Source organism: Homo sapiens, chromosome 18 (assembly GCF_000001405.40).
Source record: "Homo sapiens chromosome 18, GRCh38.p14 Primary Assembly".
Lineage (NCBI taxonomy): Eukaryota > Metazoa > Chordata > Mammalia > Primates > Hominidae > Homo > Homo sapiens.
In genome coordinates this window covers 71,214,643-71,237,355 of record NC_000018.10, presented here as the reverse complement: position 1 = coordinate 71,237,355, position 22,713 = coordinate 71,214,643, and the positions used below count along the sequence as shown (strand labels likewise).

Sequence of the window (22,713 nt, the reverse complement as noted above, 5' to 3'; positions counted from 1 at the left end):
ACACCTGGGACTAGGTTATTTATAAAGGAAGTAGTTTAACTGACTCATAGTTCAGCATGGCTGCGGAGTTCCTGAGAAACTTACAATCACGGTGATTGCAAAGGTGATGCAAGTACCTTCCTCCCAAGGCGACAGGAAGGAGATTGCAAAAGGGGAAGAGCCCCTTATAAAACCATCAGATCTCGTGAGAACTCACTCACTATCACGAGAACAGCATGGGAGAAACCGCCCCCCATGATCCAATCACCCGCTACCAAGCCCTCTCCCTTGACACATGGGGATTACAATTCAAGATGAGATTTGGGTGGAGACGCAGCCAAACCATAACACTCAGGTATTAACGCATGTCAAAGGGATCGCTACCAGGTTCCTTTTATGGCCAGAGTCACTTGACAACCTAAGTTGCTATTAGAAGTTGAGCACTTCTGTGTGGAAGGACAGAGGAAAAAAAAAAAAAATCTTCCCACTCAAGGCACTTAGAGGCATAATTAGAGTGGGACTGATAAAACACAGGAAGATCCAGTGCATTGACTAGGGAAAGGAGAGGTTAGCCAGATCGTCCATTTCCTCCTACAGATGCTTGTCTTATAAAATGAAAAGCAAAGCAAAACAGAATCATCTTCATTTCACTAACGTAGGCTTCAGAAACGTTGAGTTGTAACCTTATTTCTTTCTGGGGCTGTCCAGGTAACCCAGGAAAGAACAGTTCATCCCTGTGTACTTGAGTTCCTTTCTCTCTAAAATTAGGATATTAATTTTGACATCTGAAGGCTGTTTGAGAAAAAATGAAATTTTATTCCTGAAATTGACTTAAAAACAGTTAAGTGCTATACAAATCTAACGTGTTAAACTTTTAAAGATGAGTTGAAGCTGACAGCTGAAGGAAGCAGAAATGGGTACTGAATATTTATGTTAAACCTAGAAATTTCTATAGCCAGAAGTACAAGTCAGAATTATTGCAAAGTAGGCTCACAAGTTCCAAAATTGTTGAAAATGACATCTCTGCCTGACAGCTACAAGGGAACTTATCCAGTGAGTCTTCACCTCAAAGTAACTAAAGAATATTTTTTTAAAAGACAAAAACACAAGCATATGATTATATCCTTTCTGTCCATCTTCCTGGCTCAAATACCTGGGGTCTGTTTCAGTCATGTGTCCCTTTAAATCCACTGGGTGATGCATCAAGACAGGTAATAGCGATTCCTCAACCTCTAATTTATGCCTCTTATTCTGTTTCTCTTTACTGACAATCTCCATTTTTCTATAGGAAGACAAATCCTAGTTTGTTAAAAAAAAAAATGGTAAACATAAACAAGCAAAAATAAAAACTGGGGGAAATGATTGGGATTAAATAGCAGAAATTTGCAAATTAGAAAACCCATTCTGTGCTCAATATCCGTAAGGAAATGCATACTGGACTGGAAACAAATTGAACTTAGAAAAAGATGCACAAGTTATAGTATTACTAAATGCATAACACGTATAAAGACTTCCTTCCTTCCTTCCCTCCCTCTCTCCCTTCCTTTCTTCCTTTTTCCATCCCTCCCTTCCTCCCTTTCTTCCTGCCTTTCTTCCTTCCTTCCCTCTTCCTCTTCATTTTTCTTCCTCACTTCTTTCCATTTTCCATCTTTCCTAACTTCCATCTTCCTTCTATTCCTCACCTCTTATGTCCAGTTTTCTCTATTTCCTTATTCCTTTCTCTCTTTTTTTGTTTCAACTTTTTGATTTCTCTCCCTTTCTCTGTACGTTTTATTATTTTTCCTTCTTTTATCTTCCTTTTTTCTTTCATTTTTTTTTTTTTTTTGGCTTATATGTATTAAAGTCAGCCCTCTGTATCCACAGCTTCTGCTTCTATGGATTCAATTAGCTGTGGATAGAAAATATTAAAAAAAAAATAGAACAATAAATACAGACTTAAAAGTTCTCTATAAAAACTAAATAACACTTTATATTTAGTATTATAAATTATCCAGAGATGATTTAAAAGGAGAAGGTGCATTGGTTATATGCAAATTCTACCAGCCTGGGCAACATAGCATGACCCTGTCTTTATAAAAAATTAAATTAAATTTAAAAATAGAAACTAAAAAAAGACAAAATGGATAGACTGTTTTTTGTTTTTTGTTTTTGAGATGGGGCTCTTGCTCTGTCACCCAAGGTGGAGTGCAGTGGTGCTATCTCAGCTCACTGCAACCTCTGCCTGCTGGGTTCAAGCAATTCTCCTGCCTCAGTCTCCTGAGTAGCTGGGATTACAGGTGCATGCAACCACGCCCAGCTTAGTTTTGCATTCTTAGTAGAGACAGGGTTTCACCATGTTGGTCAGGCTGCTCTCGACCTCCTGACCTTGTGATCCGCCTACCTCGGCTTCCCCAAGTGCTGGATTACAGGCGTGAGACTATTCTAAACATATGCTGCTAGAAGGAAACATATGCTGCCACTATTTTATAGAAAGGACTGTAACAACGGTGTATTTTGGTCTCTGTAGGGAATCCTAGAACCAGTCCTCCATGGATGGTGAGAGACAACTGCATATTATATTATGTAATAGAAACATATTGATCTTATAACTGGAAAAAACTTCTACATATATATAAAATATTTAGATTTCAAATAAGCTGTTCAGAAAAGACAGACTGAAAAAGAGTTCACCTCTTGAACTCTTCAGTAATCTATTGGCTCTGGGTACCCTGGACTTTCTTCAATAAAATTACTCCTTGATTTGAAGAAAAGTGACTGAAGAAGCTGCAGGAAATTCATCTTCCAACATTCCAAACTAATTCTACTTCACGAAATCACAGAAGACCTCCCTTGCACTCATTACCCAAATAGAAGAAACTGTCTCAATCTGGCATAAAAAGTGAAGGAAGTGACCAAAGTGGCTTCTCGCTTTACTGACATATAATTGACAAATAAAAATGATAGATATTTAAGGTGTACAACATGTTTTGATATGCATATATTTTGTTAAATGATTACTGCAATCAAGCTAATTAACATATCACCTCACTTAATTTTTTGGTGATGAAAATACTTCTCTTTCAGTAAATTAGTAAATTCAGTAAATACTTCTCTTTCAGTAAATTTCAAGTGTACACCACACAGTTATGAAATATCGTCACCACCTTGTTAAGTCTCCAGAACCACAGTGTTTCTTGACATTTCTGCGATTGCCAATAACACTAAATCAAGTCCATGAAAGGTTATCGACAATAGCTTTCATCACAATCAATGATAAAAGTTCTGTTTAAAATAACATCGCATAGAAATACTCATAAATGTCTTTAGAGCAATGTAAATAAACGATTTTTTATTTCTGAATAAAATAAAAGGTATGTTAACAAGATGATCTGTTTTATTATATCATGTTCGTATATGTAGGAAAGAAAAGAACCAGCCTAGCAAGATATTCCAGATTTAAACTAAGACTACATTTACATCTAGAAAAAAAAAACAAACAAAAATATATATATACACACAAACATATACGTGTACAAGTATACATCTGTAATACATATACTTTAAAATATATTGAATACTGCATTAAATGGAGATAATTTTATAATAAATACAAATAACTGACATTGTAACATAAAATGTATATGCCTAGATAATGTCTAGATGTCAAGATAAGAAGCATATGTATTATTTTAATTGCATGAAAACATGTTTATTAATGCATATATACACTTCATATTCAAATTACTATATTCACATCTTTCTCTACCTGTGCCTTACATCACAGTATACTAAACTATTTACGTAAACAAGTGAGTGTACATGGCAAAACAAAAATATTGCCCTATTTTACAATTTCTCTTGTTTAGTAGTTTAAGCAGCACACTGAATTATAATTAAAAATATCAGTAAAGTGACATTTTGAAGAAAAAATGGCAATGAATGAAAGAAGCTGGACATACTTTAAAGCCAAATACTAGTAAGCATATAGAGGGCAAGGACGCTGTGCCACGTGTTATTCAGTAACTGCCATGTGTGCGAGACTTTAAAAAATCCTCCTGCCCTTACAACATAGCTTTCCCACCAACGTTCTTGATGGTGATAATGATCTTATTTTCTAATACATGTAGTTAATATTCCCCATAGAAAAACATATTTAAAAGAATGGCAAAGGGAGAAAAAATGTTATATATGCACACACATAGAGTTAGATAATCACATTTGTATATATTCTATTATTTTTAATGCATCCACATATAAATCCACCATTTATTATATTCCATTAAAAATACTTTGAATTCCAAAAAAGCTTTAAAATACATGATTCTAAAATGGATAGAAGGCCAGGTATGGTGGCTCATACCTGTAATCCCAGCACTTTGGGAGGCCAAGGCATGATGATTCCTTGCCTTGGAGTTCAAGACCAGCCTGGGAAACGTAGCATGACCCTGTCTTTATAAAAAATTTAATTTAATTTAATTTAAAAATAGAAACTAAAATAAAAAAGAGAAAATGGATAGACTGGTTTTTTTTTTGTTTTGTTTTGTTTTTTTTTTGGGGGGATGGGGCTCTCGCTCTATTGCCCAGGCTGGAGTGCAGTGGTACGATCTCAGCTCACTACAACCTCTGCCTGCTGGGTTCAAGCAATTCTCCTGCCTCAGTCTTCTGAATAGCTGGGATTACAGGTGCATACCACCACGCCCAGCTTACTTTTGTATTTTTAGTAGAGACAGGGTTTCACTATGTTGGTCAGGCTGGTCTCAAACTCCTGACCTCATGATCTACCTACCTCGGCTTCCCAAAGTGCTGGATTACAGGCATGAGACTGTTCTAAACATATGCTGCTAGAAGGAAACATATGTTGCCACTATTTTATACTATGACATATCATGACTACATGCAATGTATTAAGCTACAGAAGAGTATGGTATAGAAGAATAGAAAGCATTTATCCTCTATATTTACCTTTTCTGAAGAAATCTAAGGCTTATTTCAGAGAAAAGTACCTGAACCAAATAATGTAAATAATAAGATCCTAGACTTTGCTGTTTATCTAATGCATGTCTAGATGTTTACCTTAATTTTATCATAAATAATGTCACATAAAAGCACGTATCTTTCAACGGCCTACTGTTCTCACTTGGATCTTTGGAATGGGGGATATTATAATTTAAATATTATTAGTTCTTATGTGTTAAGCTTTTCTGCAATGTTTGGAAGGTAAAAATCCAAACAGACTGAGCATTTTCTATGTCCATTTTCTTGTTCCATTTTATTTTTCCCCCTTGTGGGCTAAAATGAAAATTTTGTAATTAATATTCTTCGTATTGCCTCTTTAATACCATTCTTTTTAGAAATACCTGGTTATTTAATAAAGTCATTTGTTTAAGCAGATTCTTTAAGCAAACAGATTGCTCCTTGGGAACAGACATCTTCAGAAGTACTTTAACACTTTCACAAGGTTAGTCATTAATACTTTATAGAAGTCAGTTAATAAAAAGGAAAGAATATAACTCTTTCCTATACTAACTCTTTCATAAATTGAGAATAAAGATTTGTACTTAGAACATACATTAACTAGTGGACTCTAGAGTTGGATTAGTCAACTATTATAGCAATGAGGACATCATAAAATTACCTGTAGAGCAATTTAAGGGATAGCAATCACTCATGGAGTGCCTTCCTGCAAGGCAGGCATCAGGACAGCTATTCCTAATTTATTACCTAATTTAATCATCTCAACTTTCCAAGATACATATGCATCTCTACTTTCCCATTGAAAATAACAGAAATACTGAAATTAAATAAATAACATTTTCAATGTCAAAACCCAGAAACTTTGGATGGTAGGACCAAAATTAACTTCTGAGCCCATTCCCATTCCCTTCTAATACATTACCTTACCTCAAGTGGGAGGAATTAAACAAACCAAAATATAAATGCTTTTGTTGTTGTTGCTATTCTACTTAACCTGATAAAGAAATAAAGGTTTAATCGTGTGCATATGCATTATTCCTTTCCCTTAAAATTTGGATACTGCAGAAAGAACAATAAATGTTTGTGTATAAAACATATTTACTTTCTTTAAAGGGTTTTTACATTCTTATCATTATTCTTTCACCATTACAGTACATTCATCATTTTTTTCTTATTTAATCTGTTTCTGTGCAAAATAATGATCACAGAAAGTTACAAAATGAGTCAGATGGACCACAGTAATAATAATTATTATTATAACAAACATTTGGGGTGAAACAGAACGGTGGCAAGAAAATCATTTCCATCTGAAAAGTAGCAAAATAAACAGGCAGTAGAACCATGGCCATCAATGATTGGATGAAATGAATGAAACTTTTTGAAATTTTAAGTTGACTAAATGTACTTTTCTCCAAAACAAAGTTATGCTTTGTGAGATATCTGGATACATTCATTAAGCCTTATCTGTTTAACTTTAGGTTCTTTTTTATTATAAACATTCTAGCATGTTCTCCAAATCTTCCCAGCCCACTTCCTTATTGCAGGTTCCCAGCAGCTTTATGATCAGGCATCCACCCAGGCATGTACATGGCTCAGTGACACCAAGCAATACCACATTTGATTTTATTGAACATGAGACAGACACAGAATATGGATGGAAGGCAGCATTTCTCCATGGAATAGAGAAAATGAGATTAAGCTGTCATGGGTTAATCAAGTTCATGTTTTTGTGCTGTTCTTTTTATGTAGCATGTTAAAAAACCCAACAAATTATTTAAAGTAAGATACATTGTATATTATAAGAGAAACCCTTCTTAATAAAGGGGTGATTTAATGCTTCTCAAATCAAATGGTCTTGATACCCATGAAATGCTTATCAATATTGATTAATAAACTGCAATTAATATAAAAATTCAGAAACAAAAAAACTGCATGTTTACATTTGAAAGAAGATCAAACTGAAAAAAAGTAGTCTGTTTGGAAAGAAACATTTTAAGAATATCAATAAATTAAATATTCAATTACCTAAGTTAAAGAGCCATTATAATCTTGTATTATTTTAGAATAAAATATAACATTTTGTTTTCTTAAATAGATAAATATGCTGGAGGACTAGGTTCTACAGTCTTTAGTTTTCCTATTACTATTTTGAACACTGGTTACAAGAGTGATGCAAGAAGATAAACAATTTATCAAGATATGAACTATAAAAATTTTCCCTCTAGGGAATTTATTTCTCTAATGATTTTACCTCATTGAGATATGAATTTATCAATTCCCATTATTTGTTTGAAACATATTTTAAATACTAAATTTAAAGCTATACTTCTAAGCTCTACTATATTCTTCAAAAAATATATTTAGGGTTTTAAATTATACTTTAATTTTTTGGTCAATTATTTTGATGAAGGTGTCACTCTTGAATATCACAAAACTATTTTTATTTGCTTTGGGTATATATCGAAATCTTTTTAAGGTTAAAATTACCCTACTCAGGCTGTGGCAGCAAAATTTTGAGATAGACCCCAATATTCTTTTTTGAATAATTCAAATATACAAATCTTGAAATATTCAAATAATAGAATATTTGTGAAATTAAGACACCAGATATGTTTGCTTTCTGTTCATCAAAAATTATCCTGAGTGAGCCTGGCCTAATCTGAAGGAGGAGATTTAGAGCATGAGAGAGATTCTGCTGCTGGCACTGAAGAAGGCTGCCATATTGCGGGCAGGGCTTATGGAGAGAGCACACGCCAAGAACCTGAGTCTCTAGGAGCTAAGAGCATTCCCAGCTACCAAGAAAACAGGGACTTCAGTCATATAGTAGCCAATGCATTCTGCCAACAGTTTGAGACATCTCAGAAGTGGATTCTTCCTTAATAGAGCCTCCAGATGAGGATATATCCAGCTGAGACCTGCTTCTGCCTTATGAGACACTGAGCAGAAGGCCTATCCAAAACAAGCAAGGCTCCTGACCTATGGAAACTGTGAGATGATAAACCTGTGTTAAGCTGCTACATTTCTCATAATTTGTTCTGCAGCAATAGGAAAAGAATATACTGTTCCTTCCCCTACAATGACATAAAATAGAAGATAGCACAATTAGGTACATTTAGGCCATTATTCAAAATCTATCTGAAAAAAGTTGGAGAATTGATAATATTTTACACACACTAAGTTAGGACAATGAGAAATTAATGAGTTATTATTCTATTTTCAAAATCCAGTAGAGCTATATAGCATTTACAAATTTTTATTCATGCTATAATCTACATTTGGACATTTTCTCCTTTCCCTTTCTCAATTGTTTTTCTTGTTTTTCAAAGAGAGATTGTAATGTTTTTAGTTATTCCTGTCTAAAATTTTCAGAATAATTGCATTTACAATCATATCAGACTCTTGTAAATAAGGTTATATTATTGACATTATTGTTTATTACTACATCTTTTGTCACTATTTTGTTAGTTACCACTAATCCCCCAAAATATATCCTTTGGTTTTCCCATTGTTATATATTATTTTCCAATGGCTCCCTACTTAAATGGATTTTTAATTGGGAATACTGGAATACTCTAGAGTTAGCAGTTACATAAATACTGAAGATTGTTCTGAGAGTGATTTACCCCAATTTTCTAAAATAATTATACTTTAAACTTATTTATATAATCATTTGAGAAACATTATAAACAGGAATTAGAAAATTGTATATGGTAATTCTGTCTAAAAATTACATTGCAGCACAAAATTTTGAAAGGAATAGTATGCGTATATTTGAGATTCTATTATGCAGTCTTTCTCTCTGTCTCTCTCACATCTCTTTCTTACATTCCTATTTTAAGCATCTAGCAACGACTTTTCTGGAGCCTCAGGTAAATGGTTCCCTCATCTAACTTCAACTTTTATAAGCAAATAATGAGTGTTTTCCCTTCTCTATTTAATTAAGAAGATCATGATTTGATTTATATTTACCTTCCATCGTATGTCATGGGATTGAGCTAATTTTAAATATAAATAATTCATGGTGCATTTTTATTTTTATATAGTTTTTATTTTAATTTTATTGTTGTGTCATTGAGTGTCTTTTTTTGTTTCAGAGAAAAAGCTAAGTTGTATCAATAATTGAGTTCCCTGGATAATCAAATGATGTCATATTTGATATTACTTTGAAAAAACAACTTAAAGCCATGTGATAAAAATTACCTTATTAAATCCTATGACAACCCTATGAGATGTGTGTAAAAACCTGGCCACAGGTAACAAAGCTATTAAGTGAAAGGTTGGAAATGATCTGGGAAGTCTGCCCTCAGTGTGTGGTGCTCTACGACATGCTGCACTGAAGCTGTGGCTCATAGACCTTTAGGGGTAGGCTAAGACTTTGAACCCTATTCTCCATGGAGTGGGGCCTCAGTAAAGTATTATTTACTGTGTCCCCACCAAATCTCACCTTGAATTTTAATATTCCCCACATGTCAAGGGTGGGGCCTGGTGGAGATAACTGAATCATGGGGGCAGTTTCCCCCATACTGTTCTCATGGTAGTGAATAAGTCTCTCAAGATCTGATGGTTTTATAAGCAGAAGTTCCCCTGCACAAGCTCTCTTGCCTGCCATCATATAAGATGTGACTTTGCTCCTTATTCACCTTCCGCCATGATTGTGAGGCCTCCCCAGCCATGTGGAACTGTGAGTGAATTAAACCTCTTCCCTTTATCAATTACCCAGTCTCGGGTAATTATGTGTTTGCATATAGGAGCACGCATTTGCAGGCACCACGATCCTCTGATACCTGGTAAGTGGAAATGATGCTAGAATGTGTCTATAGAGTGTATTGCGATCACCCAAACTTTCTATTTCTAGTTTGTCCAGATTTGGATAAAAAAAGAAAAGAAAGAAAGCGTCACACCACAGAAAATATTTAATAAATCAAAAAATAGGAAAGAAGAATCTCCATGGGAAGCTAGTCCCAAAGTTTTCGAGGGCTCATTGAAGAAATTTTAGTTTACTAATTTTTTTTTTATCCTTTTAGTGGTCAAAAGATCTGAACAACTCCTTGTTTTCAGTTTTGAAACAGTCACATCTCTCTCTACCCACAAAGTAACCACGTAGTGCAGATCCATAAAAAACAGGGAGGAAGGCGCACCAGGGAGAGGCCTGTCCCTCTGGAAGGGGCTCCACCTCTACATCTGCAGAAAGAGAAGGAACCGGCCGGGCGCAGTGGCTCACGCCTGTAATCCCAGCACTTTGGGAGGCCGAGGCGGGCGGATCACGAGGTCAGGAGATCGAGACCATCCCGGCTAAAACGGTGAAACCCCGTCTCTACTAAAAATACAAGAAATTAGCCGGGCGTAGTGGCGGGTGCCTGTAGTCCCAGCTACTTGGGAGGCTGAGGCAGGGGAATGGCGTGAACCCGGGAGGCGGAGCTTGCAGTGAGCCGAGATCCCGCCACTGCACTCCAGCCTGGGCGACAGAGTGAGACTCCGTCTCAAAAAAAAAAAAAAAAAAAAAAAAAAAGAGAGAAGGAACCAAACAGGGCTCCAGCACTTCTCTCCTGCAAACAAGCTCCTTTTAAATGTGAAACCCAGTCACCCAGCAGTTCCTTACATAGGTACATCTCTGAATACCAGGCCAGTTCTGAGAGGAAACAAAACCACAAGTTGAGAGAAAAGGACTATCATGGGCATCTGGTCACTTTCTACGTGATCCATCATACTTCCAGGAATTGGGAGCTACTGGTCTTGGAGTGGAATAGCTTAGACCACATCCACCGGAGGTCACCCTTTAAATAGGCCATCATGAGGAGTGGCAATAAGGTAAATGGCACCAAACAGAGAAGGGCAGGCTGGGCGGCCTGGTGAATGTGAGAGGCCACAGTAGCCGTGAGCAGATCTACAAAGTATCCCATGAGCGTGCAGTGAAAGTAGAAGACCTTCTGCATGCGCCCAGAGATGTTGGCAGGTCCAGGGCCACCACAGGAGTCCCCACGGGCTTGATTTTGTAATTGTCATAGTGAAGGTCAAAGCATAGCAGATGACCAGGCATAACAATGTCTCCAATGCCCAACATGAGGAAGTGGCTCCCAGTAGAACGTGGGAAGACCAGTTTTCCAGGCAGAGACAGGCGAGGAACATCACGCCCAACACCAGGCCCCAGGCTGAGCTTCTGAGATAGAACGTAAAGGGGATTTTCGGCCAGCTGCCATGGCCACATTCACCATGACACTGCTATTAAAGATGTAGGCTGAGAAAACTACCTAAAAGACATCATAGATTAAAAGCCCTGAGAGAAGCAGGCAGGGGACTTTGAAGCCCAACAGGCAGACAAAGAAAATTACAGTGAGACGGAGACCCACAGCCATTGCATCCATGAGAAGTCAATGGCCAGTGAGAACCCAGGTGAGTATGAGCACGACAGACAGAGATAATAACAACAACTCAGCAGCAGTGAAACATCCAGGGGAACCCAGGGAAATCTTGTTCTGAGGTGAATAGAGTCTAGTTAAATACTCGCACATCAGGAGAAGAAGAAAAGCAAAAGTTATCATTGTAAGAACTGCTGTACATATTGTGAAAACTACTTGAGCTCAGTCAAAGAAGCAAAACAACAATAAAAGAGAGACAGATGCTCCAATCGGAAGGAACAGAGCCTGGGTAGATTCAATTATTTGATGCTATTATTGGTGCTGTTGCCATTGAAAGACCCAGAAGAACTATTATTGTCTTTCTGTGTACTCTCTTGTCTTTCTGTCTTTTCTACACACCAGTCTGTTGAGAATCGGAGGTTGAAATTTGCAATATAGAGATATATAACCTTTTTCAAGGGTATTTAATCTGAAATCTATACAATTGTTATTTTAGTATTAAACCAAAGCTGATATATTTTCTGGATGAATTTGATAAACATATATCTAAAGCAAAATCATTACTTGGTATTAAAGTTAACTACATATATTTCTAATCATTAAGAACAGTAAATAAATACAAATTTAATTAATCTTCAAATGACATATTTAAGAAATAAAACTTCCAGTTTAGGATGCCAGACTGACCACATATGAGCATCTCTTCTTGCCTCCAAGATACCATGAAATTACGTGAAATTATGAGGTATGTTGATTGTAAACTCATAATGATACATAGAAATGGAAGACCATCAGGCCATAAGATAGTTTTACACACATCTATAATTCAAAAAACAAATGGAGGAGGACAATGGATGAAACAAGTTGGAGGAAGTATATACCCCAGAAAATTCACAGAACTGCAACTCAGAGACTGAGAAGCCAGAAAATACATGGCTCCAAGTGGATGTGTTCAGGAAGAAATAATCAAAAACTCACCCAACAGATAGCACATTGCATACCTTCACAAAAGCTGAGTGCCCGGGGACATACCACCCTGGGCAAGAATTGGGGAATTATTCTTTCAAGAAATAATACTCAGGAAGAAAGATGAAACTCTTTTTTAAACAAATGAAGGCTAGTATTTAGACATTTCTCCAGATCTTCACCGTTTAAAGCTCATGAGTCACTAAGTTTGACTTCTGTACTTACCTCAGCAATCGCCTTTGCATTGCCTTGTTCTTAAATATGAATGAGCAAAGAAGACTCTCTGGCCCTTTGAGGAAACACTGCGACATGAAAGGAACCTACCTCTCTGCAGAAAGGAGATTAAAACTCAAAGGAAACACTAACGATTTTTTAGAAGACGCAGTTTCTTAAAAATGAAACAAAAAAACCTCTAAGTATAATAGTACCTCCCAGGGACTTTAGGATGTATTACATCACGAGACAATAGGCTGTGGAAAGGAGCTCTTGGATATTAAAAATAAAATTGCCATAATAAATTAAAAAGAACTGAAAATATGGTTGCTAAATAAATAATTAAATTTAAGAGTTGGAGAGATGAAATTGTGACAATATCCTGGAAATATAAAACTAAAGATATAAAGAGATCTAGGATACCCCGATTCATGAAGATCCATTGGCAAGTTCAGTGCCAGAACCAGGGTGGGAGCAGCTGCAAAACATTTGTAGTGAATAAAGGGAAATTAGTTTATCAGTGTAGTTACCTCTGGGTGATTTAATTTCTCAACTTTTCTGTGTCTTCCAGAATGTTTAACAGGGAGGAACCCTATCTTCTGGGAGCTGCAAAATATGCTTGCACCAAAAAGTAAGCCAAGGAAACAGGGAACGAAGTAAAAAACCAAGCACGTTTCATGTGCCTGTGAGATGCCTGGATTCTTCAAGATGGCGAGACCCAAGGAAAGAAAGGTCAAGTTGTCGGCAAGTCACCTCAGGTAGTTAGAGGAGGTTATGTGCAAGGGCATTTCTTCTTCGTGTCCACTGCCACAGCATCCATCCTCCCTGATTTTAGAAAAATCTTACAAAAAATGTGCTAAGAGTTTAAGAAGACTAACTTCAACAAGAAGTATGAGTGGGAATTGAGCTTAAATAGTGTAGTATCTATATATCCATGAAGTGCTAATGGATGTAAGTTGGAAAATGTGGTAATATGCTCATTTGCATAACTTAATGGTATAGATATATACATATGATTAAAGATAACTTTCTAGTTTCAATGAAATTTCATCAGGACACTGACTTAATGCATAGAAAATCTGACAAAGCAGGTACTGAGAACACATATGTCATAAAAGTGATTATGCACTTTTCTAAAATTGTCTTACATTTCTGATAGTTGCAAATAGCCTTTGCAATTTTCTCAGTTGTAGCATTGCACAATATTTAGTTATTGTGCAACATGGTTCAGAAACAATCAGATATTATGGAATCTTGAGTACCCAATTATAAGTCAGATAATACTGTGCACATTACTTAAATCCTCCAAACATGTTTTCTCCTTTGTAAAATGTTAATACTTTTTGTATGTTTATTAAATGTTAATTACTGTCTATATTGAAGTGCTAGAAGTATATTATGTGTCCATCATTATTATTATACTAGGTAATTATTTGCTGATGACATTAGATTTTAGGAGTTAATCTATTATTGTTTAATGCTAGATATTCAAATATTCAAAAAAAACAAGCAGAAAGCAGGGATGTCTTTGGGCTGTTCAAAGAATGACAATATGTTAGATCACATGAGAAAAGGATAAAATTCATAGTTTTTGAAATTAGAGAAGTAGCCAAGAGCCAAATCATATGTTAGAGGAAAAGATGAGGATTTTGAATTAATTCTTCATGAGATGGGAAACAACAAGGCAATTTTGAATGCAGAAATGATATGATCTAACTCATATTTTAACAGGACTTTTCTGGCTACTTTATGGAAATAAAATCCTGAGGCTGGCCCGTTAGGGAACTACTAAAATTGTCCAAATAAGAAATGATAGAGTGTTGGATCAAAAGGTAAGTGAATATGCTGAATGCTGGTCAGATTGTATGCACATTTTTGAAAGTAGAGCTGACAAAATTTGCTTATATGTTGGATTAAGGAAACAAGACAAACAGCAGAAGCAAAGATCACACTAAGATTACAGTCATATACTATTAAAACATTGGATTATTGATATAGTTTGGTGTGTCCCCACCAAAATCTCATCTTGAATTGTAGTTCCCATAATCCCCATGTGTGATGGAAGGGACCCAGTTGTAGGTAATTGAATCATAAGGAGTGGTTATGCTGCTGTTCTCATAATAGTGAGTGACTCTCATGAGATCTGATAGTTTTATAAAGGGCAGTTCCCTGGCACATTCTCTCTTGCCTGCTGCCACATAAGCCATGCCTCTGCTCCTCCTTCACCTTCCTCCATGATTGTGAGGCCTCCCCAGGCATATGGAACTGCGAGTCCATTAAGCCACTTTTTCTTTATAATCTAGTTTCAGTTATTTCTTCATAGCAGTATTAAAATGGGCTAATACAATTACCATTAACAGAGGTGAGGAAATCTGAGGACTACATTTTGAAGTGGAAAATCAAGGGTTCATTTTTAGATATGTGTTTGTGAAAGATGCTTATAGATGGATTAAGAAACACGCATACACGGCTGGGCACAGTGGCTCACGCCTGTAATCCCAGCACTTTGGGAGGCCGAGATGGGCAGATCACGAGGTCAGGAGATCGAGATCATCCTGGCTAACACGGTGAAACCCTGTCTCTACTAAAAATACAAAAAATTATCCAGGCGTGGTGGCAGGCGCCTGTAGTCCCAGCTACTCGGGAGGCTGAGGCAGGAGAATGGCATGAACCAGGGAGGCGGAGCTTGCAGTGAGCCAAGATCGCGCCACTGCACTCCAGCCTGGGGGACAGGGCGAGACTCCATCTCAAAAAAAAAAAAAAACAGAAACACACATATACACACACACACCAATCATCACTAACCCTTGCAAGACGTTTACTGTATTTCCCATCACTTGCTAAATCCAAATTGACCAACAATAGCTGTTAAATGATGCCCCAAAACTTGCTACCCCTGAATACTACAACCTGATTGATAAATCCAGGTTTTCATACCTTCCAAGGATTCAGAGAACAGCTCTCAGAGAAAAACTGTCCTTTCCCAATCCATGCTGTCAGCTCTGAAAGCCATTCACCTTGAGCTGTTGCCATGCTGCAGTGGGTTTATTTAATTTGAGGTAATGGCATTCACTATTGCTTCTCCTTTGAGAAGAACTGGATCAGGACAAGATTCCCATTACCTGGACCGGATACTTTAGTGAAGAAGCACAACAACACTGAAGCAACATTGCTCTCTCCCCCGACTGGGGCCGGTGTGGCTAGACACCAGATGAGCTCTGATTCTGCATGGAAATCTTTCATTTTGTGTTGAGTGACACTCACATTTTACATTGTTACTATTGTCACTGATAGGGGCTTTTATGTGTGAGATAAAGATGTATTGTTTGTTTGTGACAGAGGGGCGGTAGCACGTGTTTGCTTCTCACCACTAGAATTGTTGTAGACAATGAAGCCAGTGGCCCTCTGCTTATTAATATTTACGTTGATGTGAACAACACCAAACATAGAATATATGAATCTCACCAAGGAGAATTTATAATTCCAATGATCAATTTGAAGAATTTCTGACATAAAGAAAATTGTTCTTTCAGAGGCATAAAAGGGAGAAGCCTTCATGAAATTTTCTTTCTTGTCTAAAAGAGATTATTTAAGTGAGGTCATCTTATTTTAACCAATTGTAATAAATCTCATGTTTGTGTCCACGTGTGTGTGTTTGTGTGAGTGTGTATGTCTGTGTCAAAATGGGTTTCCTGCCTCTAACCTTTCGTCCTTGAAGAGGAAAGATAATTACATTTTACTGATGAAAACTTAATATTTGTATGAAGCTAGCTCCCACTTGCTTCTCCTGTTACTTTTTTCCTTTTTTCTTCTCCCACTCTTTTCTTCTCTCTGGGGGAATTTTGGAGACTCAGTGATCAAAGTTTTGTTTTTTGTCTTTATGTATGTATCCTAATAATATCTAGCTCAGACAAAGTTTGAAAAAAGAGCTAAAAATTATTAAACTGCATTTGTTTTGCTTAAAAACATACGGGCCATGTAAAAAAAGGCAACAGTAAGAACAACAACAAAATATAATCTAATTACAGACTTTCTTGCTATTTATAAGATCTGTAGTTGCAATAGAAAGGATGGAACTTACGATTTTGAAAGTCTTTGAAATTTTTTGTTTGTTTGTTTGTTTTTGCTTTTTTGAGATGGAGTTTCACACTGTCGCCTGGCTGGAGTGCAGTGGTGCAATCTTGGCTCACTGCAACTTCCGCCTCCTGGGTTCAAGAGATTCTCCTGCTTCAGCCTCCCAAGTAGCTGGGATTACAGGCACCCACAACCACGCCTGGATAATTTTTTGTATTTTTAGTAGAGGCGGTGTTTCGCTATGTTGGCCAGGCTGGTCTCGAACTCCTGACCTCGTGATCTGCCCACCTCAGCTTCCCAAAGTGATGGGATTACAGGCATGAGCCACCATTCCCAGCCATCTTTAACATTTTTAATGAATTCAGAGGTTTATAAATTATATTCGAGAATTACGTAGGTTCATAATAGTCCTGAACAAATACATGAATCCTTTGACAAATTAGAATTAGTATATAATAAGGGTATTCTCTAGAATATTGTTTATCTCCTTCCACATTTTATTATATAAAATTAATGTCAACACTAAGTCTAATTTTATTCAATACCAAGGTCAAGCTTTTCATGCTTTAAATTTTCTAAATACATTGGTTTTGAAACTCAAGAAAGTCACAGATATTTTAGGTTTTACGTATTATGAAGTTTGGCAGTCCCCAAGACAGCCTTAACTTTTGATACTAGCTGTAAGTTTGGATTCCTAAGACCACCCTCAGATTCAAATAATTCACTGGAAGAACTCACAGAATTCAGAAAAGGCATTATATTTAGCGTTATTTTTTTTTCTTTGTGGCAAAAGGATCAGATTAAATTCAACCAAGAGGCAAATAGAGTGGGTCCAGGAGTCACCAGATATGCATTTCCAGTTGTCCTCACAGTGGACTCATGTGGATCGTTCCTACTTCTCCCAGATATCTTTGAATATCTTTGAAATTCCAATGAATAACAAAAAAATTTGCTCCCTTACCTTCAAAATAGAAGGATAATAAAATGCTTTGGCATTCTCCATTCTTCAATTTTTAATAAATGTAACTATAATGGGAACTTGTTGTTTATATAATTTAACATGCAGTGGGAAAAAGAATCTCAGTTAAGAGAAGCTCAGTTTTCATAGTTTCACTATATGCACATAAAATGTATTTGTATAAATCACTTCAATATTTCTCTCTCAAGTTAAAGAAACATATTCATGTTCAAGCATCAAAACTGGTGAATGATTCTCCCTATTAACATTTGTTGTGCGACGTTAATGCACATCTCAGTCAGGGACAATCAGTGGCAAATACAGTGGCTTTGTGATGTAAATGGAAAGTCCAGGCAGCTTTGTCCCCATGTCTGTTCTTACCCTTTACAACAGGGCTACCCAATCCCCAAGCCACAGACCAGTACTAGTCCATGGCCTGTTAGGGACTAAGTCACACAGCAGGAGGTGAGTGGCAGGTGAGTGATCAGTGGCAGCATTAGATTCTCATAGTAGTGCAAACGCTATTGTGAACTGTGCTTGCGAGGGATCTAGGTTGCATGTTCCTTATGAGAATCTAATGCCTGATGATCTGTCAGTGTCTCCCATCACCCCCAGATGGGAGCATCTAGTTGCAGGAAAACAAGTTCAGGGCTCCCACTGATCCTACCTTATGATGAGTATGTAATAATAGAAATCAAGTGCATAATAAATCTAATAATGCACTTGAATCATCTTGAAACCATCCCCCCAACCCCAACCCTGTCCATGGAAAAATGATCTTCCACAAAACCAGTGCCTGGTGCCAAAAAGGTTGGGGATTGGTGCTTCACAAACTGTTACTCCCAGGTAATCATGAACACTGTGCTGCTATTTCCAGAATAATCACCAACTGTAACTTAATTCTCCAGGCTATCTTGTAAGAGAGGATTTCACTCTTTCACCTTGATAATGCTGGATAACACAGATTATTGCCTAGAAGGTTAAGAGAAAAATTGGCTGTAAGCTTAAAACACTGGCCATTTTACTCTACATTGTTGAGGATGTTTCTGGCATGTGTTTTTCCTGCCAAATGAATGACACTAGCAAAGCTGTAAAGGTGAAGCATTAACAGGAATAACGGCTTCAATGAAGGCTTTGAACATTTGAAGATGCATTTTATACATGGTCACATTCCAATGAATATAAATATCTTCCAACTATTGTCTGTTTTCTGGATGGCAGCTTTTCCCTGTCAAAAAACAACTACCTTGCCACTAGCTTAATTTTTTTTCTAGACTATATATTCTTAACTTGGGACACACCAACTTACTTATCCAGTTACAGAGGTACCAGCTTTGTAGGGACTATAACCAAGGAGTTTGCAAAAGACAGTTCATCTTCCAGAACTCAACTGTTCTTATCATCTTAAGTCATCAATGGAAATTAAAAGAATAAATATTACCCCAAAATTAAAGTTTGCAAAATTGACAATTGCTGTAGAGATTTTATGCTGTATATCCAAGTATATAATCAACAAAGCCAGTTGCACTCGGCTTTTTCCAAAGACAAATAAGAGAATCCTGCATGATCTGCCAAGATTACTGGTTTGCTAAAAATGACGTCAACCTCGGAATGCTCTTGGGCCACAGAAAGAGACTTGACCAGGCACTATCAATCATAAATACTACAGTAAAACTTCACAGAATGGAACTCTGGAGTCACATCTCTCAGTTAAAAGTCATTATGCATCTCCAGCATCTCCATACCAATGGGAGCTATCACACAGAATCTCTCAGGATTCTTCAGAAGCAGGCACATCACAAAGGGGATTGTTTTTCAAAGAACCTTGATGAAGCAACAGGTGGAAAACCTCTACCGAAGATTTCTTGTTTTGTTAGAGCAGGTAGCTCTGCAGACATGGACAGGAGAGGCCCCGCCCTGCAGGAATGTCAGGCAGCCATCAGGTGATGCTCAGGTGGTTGTTAAACTGTCTCTCTAAAATAATAATTGGTCACAGCCAGTGCCAGGGAAAGGTAGTCTCCCAATAAATATAAAACACCTGAAGCTGGTGATTAGCTTTCTGATAAGATCTCTGGAGTTGGGCAAGTGCGCTCCAGCATGTGCACTAAGAGGCAAAATGGCAGAGTTTAACTGGCATATGACTATTCTCTGGGAATGTTCAACCGGTAAGGGAAAAATGCCTCAAAGGAGCATGCACACAACTTGAGTAAACACATTCTGCATGAGGCCCCTCTTAAGTGCTGGCAGTCCGCTGCACATGCAGAGAGGCTGCCCCAAGGAAAAATCAAGGCAGAAGAAACACAAACCTCAGAACCATCCAGTGTGTAAAAATCTCAAGTCAACCATTGGCCAGGGCACTTGGATTTCTCAAGCTGCCCATGTGACCCTCTTCCAAGTGTACTTTACTTCCTTTCATTCCTGTTCTAAAGCTTTTTAATAAACGTTCACTCCTGCGCTAAAACTTGCCTCAGTCTCTCCCTCTGCCTTATGTCCCTTGGTTGAATTCTCTCCTCCAAGGAGGCAAGAATTGAGTTGCTGCAGACCCATCGAATTCACTGCTGCTAGCAGTTTGACTCCTGCATCCTTGTGACCACCAAACACTTCTTCTTCTTCTTCTTTTCCTAGCTGTCTTATTCCTGTCTTTTGAGTTTAAATTCAAGATTTTTAATTAACGAGGATTTAAAAACTTCAAGAAATGTCCTCCTTTAATACTAATGCTTTGATTTATACAAGCGACTCTGTTATTTTGAAAATACCTCACTAATCAGATACAAAATGAGACACAAAGGAAACAAACCTTGACAACCTGGCTCTTCTGCCACATTCTGGGTCGTCTGGATCAAGGAATCCAGATGGAGGGTGGAACTTGGTTTTATGATTAAAACCAGGTAAAACGGTGGGCTGGATAGACAGCCTTTCAAAGACTGTTAATGATTCTAGTTCTTGTGTTTCTAGGCTTCAGAGTTCTACATCGTATCCTACTTACAGCCCTAAATACCTGTTAACTGCCACCCCCTGGACAGATTATTACAGTGACAACAGAAATATAAGTCACATAAGGAGCTGCTGAATGCACTCAAGACTCAACAATCTCCAAAGATACTGGAAGGCACGAATGGAAATCTGGACTCTGACAACTGTCCTTAGCATGTTATCTTTTACGCCAATGCTGGCCAAAGAGAAGGACTTAAAACGTTGTACTGATCCTTACAAGAACTTAGTTTCCACTGTTTCTTTCCACTACTTTTGCTAAATTCAAATTGACCAACCAATAGCTGCTTAACTAGGACCACACCTTGCTCTTCCTGCATCTTATCCCATGAGCAACACGATTTCAGTTTCCCCATAATTTCCAAGAACTTGCCAGTGAATAATTCTCGGAATAAAACTGAACTATGACTGTGAAACTGCCTTTGCAAAAATCATAACTGAGAAAAGAAGGTAAAAGAGATGTGTCCTAACTGCCTTCATCTTTCTTTTAACCTCCAAGCTGTCTTATTCATTGCTGGTGTAGGCTAAACTAATTTTGGAAGAAACTTAGTTTATGATTTAACTTTGAAACCAAGATAATAGCAGCCCTTTCCCTAAACAAACCCCCTTCCTGCCTACAGCCTAGACTGGCTTTGCAGGATTAACAAAATAGCCACAAAATTAGAAATTATGGCTTAGGAGTCATGCAGCTGGAGGGTACAAGAATCTGAACCTCTCCAAATTGCTCCTGAGGATAACATCACTATTGTAAAATCTAAGATCAGTGCTTCAGATATTTTGCAGACTCTGTGCTTAAAGGATCAGCTGGCACTACCCAGGTCTTGATAAACTGGCTCAGTTGGACTTGTGGCCTCTGCCTAGGAACTGATTCAGCATAAGAGGACAGCTTTGACTCCCTATTATTTTATCTCTGACCTGATCAATCAGCACTGCCAACTTTCTGACCCCCTATACACCAAATTATTCTTGAAAACCTCAGTCTCCAAGTTTTGGGAGAGACTGATTTGAGTAAAACTCTGGTCCCCTGTACAGTCAGCTTTGCATGAATTAAACTCTTTCTCTATTGCCATTCCCCTGTCTAGATAAATCAGCTCTGTCTAGGCAGTGGGCAAGATTAACCCACTGGGTTACATGTGGCCTTTCCCAATTCTATCTTATGAAATATTTATCTACTTGGTCCCCATAGTCATCTTGAAATGTGTTTCATGTTGCAATGTTTTAATAAAGGCTTTAGCTAATATCTTTTGATTAGTTTCTCGCCTTTCAAGTTCATTATGAGATAACTGTCTACTAAATATTCTAATGGCATTAATACACAAAGCATAAGATTGTTTTTCACTAACTCTCAACTAGTGAACAGTTCAAGAATTACACAGGACCAGTTATAAATCCTCCAAATTATGTATGTGCAACAAAGACAAAATATTCCAGGTAAGCACCAAGGATAAGAGAGGCCACACTGGTTGACAACTGTCATTCATACACTACCCAGATTCCCCCAACCAGAACTTAGAACCTTATTTCTCCACGTACGACAAAAATAAAGTTCTAAGTCCCCCACCAACTGACTGAACGGACCCCTTCTCTTGGCCAAGGTCATTTCAAAGAAAACTTGAAAAACTAGTCAGGCTATGATGGAAAAGGGGGTGGTCAGACATGCCTCATTATACTCTCCTCCCTTTGGAATTCAGACACAACTGATCAGCATTAGCATTAAAACAGAAATCTTAACATTGACAGAACAGGCTTTTTACAGCAATAAGACATCACAGTCCAACCTGACTCTGGTATACCATCACATGACAGATAGAAGTCCCTGAAATTAATCAAAGTATTTTACCCTGAAATATATTTCTTTGAACAAAATTTGAAATGGCACCTGCAAAGTTGTCTCTTGAGGAAAATCTTTCTTCTGTAGAAAATCCCCTTCCCCTTCCAGGTCTCTTCCCATTCCAGGAGAGATTTAACTAAAAGTCTGGCACCCTTTAGAGTCTGATAAAAGACCTTTACCATCTACCATCTATTCTTCTGAAGCCTGCTACCTGGAGGCTTCATCTACATAAGAACCTTGGCCTCTAAATCCCCTCTCCCTCCCACTTAACTACAAACATTTCTTTCTGCTGACTTCAGCTCTTCAGGAAGAGCTTAACCCCTTCAACCAATTATCAGGAAATTTTTGAATCCACCTGTAACCTGGATGTCTCCCCAACCCTCTCCCCTCAC

General features: G+C 37.4%; 1 long non-coding RNA gene and 1 pseudogene across 1 annotated transcript, besides 1 other annotated feature; one reads left to right on the top strand and one right to left on the bottom strand.

Moving 5' to 3' along the window:
• Positions 1–197: 197 nt before the first annotated feature.
• On the top strand, positions 198–21,730 carry LOC105372187 (uncharacterized). Its single transcript, NR_188047.1, has 4 exons — positions 198–334; positions 13,039–13,225; positions 14,199–14,299; positions 20,455–21,730. It is a non-coding gene; the product is annotated as an uncharacterized LOC105372187 (long non-coding RNA).
• Positions 6,922–7,091: an enhancer, noted in NCBI's record as "experimental_49614 CRE fragment used in MPRA reporter constructs". NCBI's record gives its function as "activates a minimal promoter by MPRAs in K562 erythroleukemia cells, with activity observed for both the introgressed and non-introgressed 18:68897586 variant alleles {active_cell/tissue: K562}" and the evidence as "EXISTENCE:reporter gene assay evidence [ECO:0000049][PMID:34662402]".
• Positions 10,443–11,671, bottom strand: LOC100132647 (signal peptide peptidase like 3 pseudogene; annotated as a pseudogene).
• Positions 21,731–22,713: the final 983 nt, after the last annotated feature.